The sequence below is a fragment of the Homo sapiens genome, chromosome 18, assembly GCF_000001405.40.
Source record: "Homo sapiens chromosome 18, GRCh38.p14 Primary Assembly".
Lineage (NCBI taxonomy): Eukaryota > Metazoa > Chordata > Mammalia > Primates > Hominidae > Homo > Homo sapiens.
Window position 1 is genome coordinate 25,463,440 of NC_000018.10, and position 10,349 is coordinate 25,473,788.

General features: G+C 41.1%; 1 annotated feature.

Annotated features, from left to right (window-relative positions):
* Window positions 704–3,450: an enhancer, noted in NCBI's record as "VISTA enhancer hs1544". NCBI's record gives its function as "enhancer in: hindbrain (rhombencephalon)[5/5] | midbrain (mesencephalon)[5/5] | forebrain[4/5]" and the evidence as "EXISTENCE:transgenic organism evidence [ECO:0001131][PMID:17130149]".

Below are 10,349 nucleotides of genomic sequence, written 5' to 3' on the forward strand. Positions count from 1 at the left end.
CCAAGAGCGGAACAAACTGAGCAGCCGGGAGAAGGAACTGAACATGCCCATTGAAGCCTCTTCACTCCCCCTCCTTCCTCTCTCTGGCCCTGTCTCATTGAGGACTCACATTCTTCTCTCCCTGCCCCTCAAGTCCCAAAGATTCCAAGTGTGATGTTTCTGGGATACACTGGAACACGGGAGTGTGTAAAAACCAAAGAGAACAAACTTATTTTCGGGAATCAAAGAAAAATTTCTTGAGGAAGCAACACTTATGCTGAGACCAGAAAATGAAAAATGAAAAGGAGAAAATAAGGTGAAAAAGAAGGGTTTTGTGAGAGCCAGTGTGGTTGGGAAGAGAGTCGTGAGCTTGGAGAACACGTAGTTGTGAAGGGTGGAGGTAGAAAAAGAAAGGCTTGCTGAAATTACAGTTTTCTTCCTGGCCTCTAACCTGGTGTTAGAGAGGGTCATATCTTAGTTTGGAATAAAACTCATTCATTTGTTCGTTCATTCATTCATTCATTTGTTCATTCATTCCTTCCTTCATTCATTCATTCATTCTTCATTTAACCTATAGCCACTCTCCTACGTGAAGGTAATATAATTCTGAGTTAGATATGGGCTCTAACCCAAGGCAGCTATCATCTACTAGTAATGCAGATGTGTTAATAATTTTGTTTATTAAACCATACTGGTGTTCTGCTAGAGGACAAGGACACAAGAGTTATGGGTGGTGGAGAGAGGGATGTCACAAGAGGCAGAGAAGAGGTAACACTTGAGCTGAAAAATGAGTGTGTTTTTACCAAGTCAAAAAGAAATCTTACTGTCCATCTTTGGTGTCTCCCTTTCTGGACCTTTCTGCCTTACAGAGCTGATGATTACTTGATGTAGCATTCTTCTACCATAAACAATCTTCCATATTCTAGCCAGAGTGATGTCACTATGAGACTATGCCTGGTGTAAACAGGATAAAATTCCAAGGCAGATCAGAAATGAAACTAGATCTCTGTAAGAATGAATTAGCCTCAACATAATAAAATAGTTACAACTTTGTGGGAGATATGTAAAATGGTTTACATCACTGAATGGTCCCAGATGGTAAACATAAGGAAAGATTGTGTCTTAAAATGCATGTACAGTGGATGTACTGTACATACATAGTGCAGAAAAAACTTTTAAGAGCCTAGCATTTTCTAGGCTCCTGGACAATGCATGTTTATGATAATGTGCACCACAAATATACCCACAATTTTCAATGTATTAATCATAGATAGTGTCCAAAACGAGTGAGATGGCAAAGAAAATACGGTCATTGGAAAAGAAGAGATGTATTACTGAATGTGCTAGAAAGTAAAGAACACTAGACTCAACACAATGTGTAAGACAACACAAATGATGGAATGCTTGGAAGAAGGTAATAAATGTAACTTCTAGGAGAGAGACGAGTGGAAGGCTTCTCAATTGCCCTAAAAGAATGGCCTGGCTGGAGTCGCTCAGGGAGGAGGTGAGCGCACAGGCTGGTGTGGGAAATGAAACAAGGACACCAGGGAGACTGATTTGCTCTCGTCCTGTCACTCCCCTGTGAACTTTGGGTCATAGATGGTTAAGTGTGGGAAGGGAAAAGCAGGAAGTATTCTAATGAGAATTCAATTAATTCAAGGAATCACAGAAACCAGGTGTAAACTCTGCCGGATATTAAAAGATCCCTGAGAGGAGACTTAGGATTTTGTAACACGTCAGATCAATTTTCGAGGAGCTGGCAAATTGGCAGCTTCCCGTTTATAGCCCAGGCCTTCCCTAACAGGTCCAAACAATTCACGTCCTTCGACTCTGAGCAAGTGTGACTTGAGACCCCTAACAAGGCCACTGCTGTGAGGGACCCACTCTGCTCCATCTGGGTACCCATGGGGGTCTTCAGGATGCAACGGCCATCCCAGGACACTGGAGAAAGCCCTGCCACCCTCTGAAGGACTTCCAGCCGGTTGCAGGACTCGGCATGAGGGCATGGTTTCCTGTAGGTGTTGGACTGGCCATGATAAAATGACGCATGACAGTCTGATGCTGGGGCTAAAAGCAGCGGGAGCTTAATACCGCGGGGCAAAGGATGAAAACACAGCTGAAAAACAATGTCTAGCTGAAGAGAAGTGTTGAGTGGGGCCCCCGCAGGGGCCACTCCGAGGGCCTTTAAGGACTTTATGTCCGCATGATTAGCCAAGATGAAGGGACCAGCTGCAAACTTTAATTTCCTGATGACACAAAGGAACCATGAACAATATATAGATAGGATTTGAATTTGTAATAAGCAGTGGCCTAATCCACAGCAAAGGATAGTCAGTGTAGACCAAAAAAAAAAAAAAAAGCCTCCTGAAATTTCTTAGGGTCCCCATTCAGACATACTCTTTACTGAGAGTTTTACTTCAAGCAATTTATCTTGGAGGAACTACCAGGGTTGGCTGTGGGAAAGAAGCAATGCACTTTTGCTCTAGGACCCTGAATTCCTGACAAATCCCTCTGTTCTCCTAGCAAGAAGACAAACCAGAGTTTGTATAATAATGTTGCCTGCACCTGGCTGGAAGAATACTCTGGATAAAGGAATGACCACATTAGTCCACTGAGAATATTTTGCCAGACACTAACCTCTTTTATTATACTCTTAATCTCAAGCTAGAGAGGGGAATTTTTAAAAATAATGCTTTCTTCATTCTTAGCAGATGAAAACATAACATTTGAGCTTCTTTCTTTCTTTCTTTCAAGTGCTGTTGGAATCAAATTAGCTGCTGGAAAAGAAAGGCTCAACCTTCATTTTTTGTTCTTACCCTTTCAGCTCTAATCATCTTGAAGTGTTAAGGTGCATAATAAAAAAAATGTTTAGGTCCACAGGAAGTGGCTCGTGATGAGGACTGGCTTTAATAGCACAGGGAAAGCTGAGGACAAAAGGGGCCAGATGTTTTGACAGGGCACCGAGGAGCAAAGAATCTGGGAAAGGGAAAGAAACCTTTCAACAATTCTCAGAACAGGGGGCTTTTTGTCTCCAGCTCTTGAAGAGGTCCTGTGGCATGAGCTTCCCCCTAAGAGGCAAAAGATGAGAACTTCAAACATGCATCAGCATTGTGAACACAACATGTTAATCTTATTAATTATGAAAACCCCCACTGAGGGAGCATTTACATGTGCTAGCAAATTTACCTGCATTATCTCATTTAGTCTTTGCAAAACAAGCCTGCGCAGTTGGCTTTATCATTCCCATTTTACTGGTGAGTCAGTTTAGGCTAAGGAAATGTAAACTTTACTTGTCCATAGACATGCTCACTGTTAAATGTTATAGCTAAAATTAGAGCCCAGGACTTTTTGACTCCAAGACATACTGCAGCTTCCTTGCAATGACAAAAATTACAAGAAACACACTTGGAGCTCCATGATGCTTGTTGCATATTACTGGGATCTGACTCTCTCAGACATCACTTCCGTTGCTAAACGCAAAAACTTATAGCCCTCTTGGAGGTATTTACTCGGTGCCTCCTACTTACCACTAGCTTCCCCTTTCCTCCAAATAATAATAATAATGAGCTGAAAGATTTATACAATCTGAAGAGAAACCAGAGTATTAATAGTAATAATAGGTTACAAAAATATTTCCATGTAACCATTTTCAATATGGATGGCTTTACAATGTTGACACAATCCCTTAGTGTGGCTGCAGAAAAGGGAAGAAATAGGCACACTTCCAGTCCCAGGAGGAACTCAGGGCTGGTTTTTCTCTATTTCTTCTTCCAACAGAAAAGGAATGGGGACATATGTGTTTGTTGGATAGTAAGAAAGTCCTTTGTGTGATACGTGTGTTCTTGTGACTCAGTTTTTGGAAGTCATGGTCAAGTTCTAGTGCTCAGAAATTTGATCCTTGCATTCCTCTCTTTGGCATTGAAAGGTACCTCAAGGCCAGAGCTGGCTGAACAGAGGCTTGTCAGCTGCCAGGGCCTGCCTCTGATGGCCTTCTGGGCACAGCTGTCAGGGAGATTGGGCTGTGTCCCAAGGGGGATGTGTCATCACCCAAATGCCTGGGCAGCGACGGGGGATGTGTGAGGTTTAGAGCTAAGAGGAGTGCTCTCCTTTCACTAAATATTCTTAAGTCTCTGTCCAGGAGCTCTGCCCATGCTGGCCTTCTCTGTACCTCTTTGTCCTCAAAAGTCTATGTCACAGCAGGCTGCTGGGTTATCCTATGGGGACAATTTTGCTCTGTGTAGGCGACCAGCCTCAGAGTGTTTCTGATCCCTAATAGTCCTCAGAACGATGCTGGGAAATGTCTCTGAGAGTCCAAGTTTGCCACAGCCTGGGCTGCTGGAGCCCTGTGCCTTCCCTCCATCCTTCCTGTCTAGGACAATTGAGCTAATTAATGTGACCAGGGAACATTTGAGTTGCTAATAGGAGCCAAGAAAGTGTTGGGGTGTCCAAGACAAATGGCACTTGGCTCATGTTGCTCAACAGCTTAAGTTTCAGTTTTGAAAATTAGTTCAGTTTTACTTAAATCATCTTCTGTGCCAGGCAGCCAATTTTGAGAACTGACGCATGACAAAGCCTCCGTATCTGCAGTGAATAGTCTCTCCATTTTATTTGACCCTTAGGAACTGGGGGAGAAGGTGGTCTGTGCACAGCCTGTCCAAGGCATCCTGGAAGAAGGAGAGAGAGGGGGAACTCTGTGTGTCTGGTTTTGCCCAGTTAAGAAAGAACAAAGTAATCAAGTTAAAACTGTATTTCAATTTCCTCCTCTGAAGAATGTGTTATTAAGTGAATTAACGTGTTGTTTCTTTTATCTGAAGATCTGTGGTAACTCATATCTTCTGAGATGGGTCTGACACGCTTAGTTTCAACAGAAGTAGATGACTTGGCTTTACTGTAAAATAGCAAAGGAATTTTATAAGACATTAGAATAATAACTTACATCTATTTATGTGTTTTTCTAGTCATTGTAGTCACGCTGTTTATCATGTGCAAAGACTGTGAAGTCAGACACACTGAGGCTTGACTCCCATGCTGCCCTTGGCTGGCTGTTTCACTCAAGAATGTTCCTTAATCCCTCTGAGACGCAGTTTCTGAACTTGCCAAATGAAGATAATAATAGTACCTACCTCTGGCCAGGTGCGGTGGCTCACACCTGTAATCCCAGCACTTTGGGAGGCCGAGGTGGGTGGATCACGAGGTCAGGAGATCGAGACCATCCTGGCCAACACGGTGAAACCCCGCCTCTACTAAAAATGCAAAAAATTAGCCAGGTGTGCTGGCAGGCGCCTATAGTCCCAGCTACTCGGGAGGCTGAGGCAGGAGAATGGTGTGAACCCAGGTGGCGGAGCTTGCAGTGAGCCGAGATTGCGCCACTGCACTCCAGCTGGGGCAACAGAGCAAGACTCCATCTCAAAAATAATAATAATAATAATAATAATAGTACCTACCTCTCTGAATTGTTATGAGGAGCCAATGAAATATAAATGTACTAAGTATGTGGCCCGGGGGTTATTTTACAGTAAGTGTTCAGTAAACAAGTCCTAGTTCAGATAATATCTACCTCAGATAAATGTAAAATTAAATTACATCTAACATATGTGGAGAAATTTTCTCACAGTAGGTACCATCAATACCGGTACCCTTACTGTCCCTGCGTATCATAATGGCTAGGTTTGTTGAAATATTAGACGTAAAACTATACTTACATTTACTTTCTCTACCTCAGGTATTTTACTTGAATTCTCTTGTGAATTTTAGTATTCTGTCTACCTACCACTTTCAAACCAATGGGTCTCCAGAAGGGACTGAATTCTGATTCACACACCACAAACAAGCAAATTCAACCACCAAAAATTCTGCACCAAGCCACCACATTGAAGACCATAGGTGGGGATCATGCTGGGCCACCAAGCCATCTTGTCAACCTCATACATGTCCGTCTGGTTCAGGCCTGTAAACCAGGACTCCTCGGCCTGCCCCTCAGGCCTCAGAAATCTCTTCTAGCAAAAAGTATACCTGCAGGCCTGGCTATGTGATTTATAATAGTCTTTATGTATTCCAAGTCATGGGGATAGGAAGAAGGCACTAAATGCCAAGGTTTTAAAGACAGTGCCTCACAGAAATGACCATAAATAGCAGCTCAGGAGGCCACTTACATGAAGTTAGACCCGTTTAGGACTAGGGGCTATTACAGTATGAGCTTATCATAACTTGATTCAAGTGCAATAAGCGAGGAGTGGAGAAGATGACCAGTCAGTGTTAGAAAGCCAAGTGTGGATCAGATAACCACATTAAAAAGATTAAAATGTCCAGCCTGCTATAAATGCCTGCTAAAATCCTAAAAAGGAGCCTGGAGAGACCCATAAAATCATAACTAAGAAAGTAAGGGAGCCCTGAAGCTTTAACCAGATGTTCCTGTGATATGAATGACTATGTTAGTAAATTTTCATCCTAGCAATACAGCTTTGTATTGATCTTTTGCTTTTATTAGTCAGTGCTGCTATGAGATTAAACATTGTCTGGAAGGAAATAGAGGCTTCCCTCTCTAGAAGGCTCTTCTCAGGAACCCAGCATTTGTTATCACAAAGCGCACAAGGGAGTTTATAATGAATTGCACAACAGAGCAGAGGCTTGAGTCTATAAAAAGAGTTATATAAGGGGTAGCCTTATAGAGAATAACCTCATTTGGGAAGCAAACATTGTGTACCGTACCGAGTAGGAAACCTACGGAGAGCTGTCTAAAACAGAAATAGACATGAGTATTTATGACCAGGAGCACCAATCGCAATACACAGTGCTAAACACTTAATCTACGTTTAGATTTTACTCCAGATCCAAGCTGAAGTCAGCAGAATTAAATTTTCAAATGTATTTCAGCAGCCTTAAATCCTTCTGATACTGTTAGCAGTGGCAGGGTTCCAAAATGCATTCTGTTAATAAGACAGTAAAGTATAAAATCGAGTTATCTCTTTCAAGGAGAAAAACACAGAGTAAAGGAAACGAGTCTTGTAAAATTACATTCCAGTATTCAGGCCTTTTCTACCTGAGTTCCTTTCAATTTATTCTTTTACTACCAGACCATTCTCCTGGAAAATAGCAGGGAAAAAAAAAGAAATTACCCCCCAACATTTTTTTTGAACTATGAAAGAAATGGTACTCCTGCAAAAAGCCTTAGGATTTTTTGCTTCTTATTTTTACAGGTCAGAGGAGGTTAAGATTTTGCCAATCAGCTTGTAACATGCAGTATCAAGTCTCCTTGGGCTAGCAAAAAGAATTCAGCAGCTGTTACCTTTTCTTTCTCACTTAACATAACTTTTGGTTTACCTGCAGCTAAAAGAAATTTATGCAGCACATACAGGGCTGTTGTTCAAGTCCCCAAAGCAATTTCATTAGTTCTCCCAGGAGCAGCATCAAATGCTTGTTAAGGAGGAAGAGAGATAGACAGACAGACAGAAAAAAAGACAGAAAGGAAGAAAGGAAAGAAAAGAAAAGAAAGAAAGGAAAGAAAGAAAAAGAAAGAAAGAGAAAAGAAAAGAAAGGAAAGGAAAAGAAAAGAAAGAGACACATCCACTACCAACGCTCTTTGTTTTTTTTTTTTCAATTTTTTAAAATTATGCTTTAAGTTCTGGGATACGTGTGCAGAACATGCAGGTTTGTTACATAGGTATACATGTGCCATGGTGGTTTACTGCACCCATCAACCCGTCATCTACATTAGGTATTTCTCCTAATGCTATCCCTCCCCTACCGTGACAGGCCCTGGTGTGTGATGTTCCCCTCCCTGTGTCCATGTGTTCTCATTGTTCACCTCCCACCTATGAGTGAGAACATGCGGTGTTTGGTTTTCTGTTCCTGTGTTAGTTTGCTGAGAATGATGGTTTCCAGCTTCATCCACGTCCCTGCAAAGGACCTGAACTCATCCTTTTTTATGGCTGCATAGTATTCCATGGTGTATATGTGCCACATTTTCTTTATCCGGTCTATTATTGATGAGCATTTGGGTTGGCTCCAAGTCTTTGCTATTGTGAATAGTGCCCTTTGAACACATAACACTGAGATGAAGTGCCAGACTTGCTCAAATGAACAAAGTCAAAATGAAGCCTAAAATGCCATCTAGACATCGGCTTTCACATCACAGTTTCTGCACATATGGGATGAGAGACCACCCACTGCTCTGAGATCCCTGCAGGGCACCACTGAGCGAGTTAAGTAATGAATTTTAATCTTAACTCTGAATTTCTTTGTCTTTAGGCAATTTTTTTTTTTTGGCCTGTCTAGGAGTTAGAAAAAGATAGAAACTCCCTTGTCTTGTAGAACTAATGTGATATAAGAAATTGAGCTGTAGCAATCCACTGGGAAGAAACAAAAAATATACGAAAGTAAAGATTTATACTGTATACTCAAATAGTTCTGGAAAACATATACATCTGGAATATACTAGAAAATATCTGGAATATCTATAGGTAATACCTGTATATAATACCTCTCTATATTTGATATCCTGTACCTTTATAACTTTGAACAAATATATATATATATAATTTTACCACATTGAATTATGACATTGAGAGAAACAAGAACATAAACTTAATTTCTAATTATTATTATTATTTTTTTATTTTTTTTAATTTCTAATTAAACCTATCATTAGAAGAGATTTTGGAGTTCTTAAGAATTATTTTTGTTGAGTTCAACAAGTTATGTAAATGATTTTAGAGACTTTTCTTGAATAACTGCCTAAAATGAAACCTGAAAAAATTTCATTCCCTTTTTCCAGCTTTGCCAGAGTCTGGGCAGATGCCTACAGTTATTTTATGACATCAGAGTTAACATTTATAAGACCATAATTTACTCCCATTATCCTTTAGTCAACTTAATGAGATTAGGAGGATACCATGATTTTTTAAAGTTGATTTGAGAGGCATTTCTGATCTAGATATAATTTAAGAGATGCCCTGTTTTACAACCACAGGTCATAGGTAACTTCTGTAAAGGGTGAATCTCTGTGATTGTTGCTGCTTCAGTGTCGGAGGGTATCATTTTGTGACCATGTCTGGGTGCCCCCCAGTGATTGCCTAGGGTTTCCAGGGCCTGGCTATTACCATATGCTATGGACAACTCCAGTTGTGTTCTTTGCACGTAGCTTTTAAGGTTCAACTCTAAAAATTCTTTCCAAATTCCGCTAGTTGAAATCAATCAGGGTTTGCATCTACCCCAATTAAAGTTATTTCTGTGACTTCATACCAAATTACGAGCAGCTAGATTAGGTTCTTTTCAACTTTTAGATCCCCTTCAGTGTCTAGAAGAGTGCCTTGCATAATATATGTCCCTTGAATGGAACTGTATTTTCTAAAAACTGGGAATTAAATCCACCCGTGGGGAAGGGTATGAAGATGAATGAGCAATGGACAGAAGCATCCTCTAATGATGGCAAAGATGAAGCAAACACACACCTGGGCCCAGACCCTTGCTAGGGCATTTATGTAAAACCAAATTAACTTCAAGAGAATTCAATGAGTAAAGTGAACGTTTTTCACCCTCCAGGTGGTCCCTGGAGAGGATGTTAGCATGATGAGAAGAAACAGGGAGAGGAAAAATGCTGCTGCTGACCCCTGTATGATAAAGATAGGTTTTCCCATCTCCACTCCTCCATTCTGCGTATTTCAAAATGACAACAAGGGAAACAATTTACAGTTGACTCCAGGTGCCCCTGGCTGTGAAACTCTTTCTGTCATGGCAGAGAGATGAAAAAGAGGCCCCCTTTCCCATGAACGACTCTGAGCCACATAAATATTGTTTCATTTCCACTTGTAGCAGTTTATGTTGCTTGTCTGTGTTCAATCTCCCTAGATCCTGGCAGTTCAGTCACTCCTCTCTTTCTAGACACTAGATCACAGCACCTGAAACTAGGAAAGGAAAAGAGGCCTGGAAAGAGGCCCAGCAGTGGCACCTTGATGCTATCTTGAGATGTCTCCATTATAACTTGCAACATCCTGCAGTGGTAAAATGTGGGTTTACCTTGAGATAATCTAGATCCTTCCGCAGCATCACTTTATTGCCTAATGCTACTGTTTCCTTCTCATCATTTGCCCAAAAAGAGGGGTCTCAGGAGATGCTCTTTGGGGAACTTGTTAAAATCCTGAATTCTGGGCTGACTTCTGAGACTTCTGATTCAATAATTCTGGATGATACCTAGGGATCTGCATTTTAATATACAGTGCATCCCAGATGATTCTTATTTCAGGTGGTTGATAAACACTGTCTTATGGCTAAGAGGAGGGAAGATTAGCTGGCTTATTTTCTACTCATGGGGTTTTTGTTGTTTGTTTGTTTGTTTGTTGGAGTAGGTGAGGAAAATTGGAGAAATAGCTCCC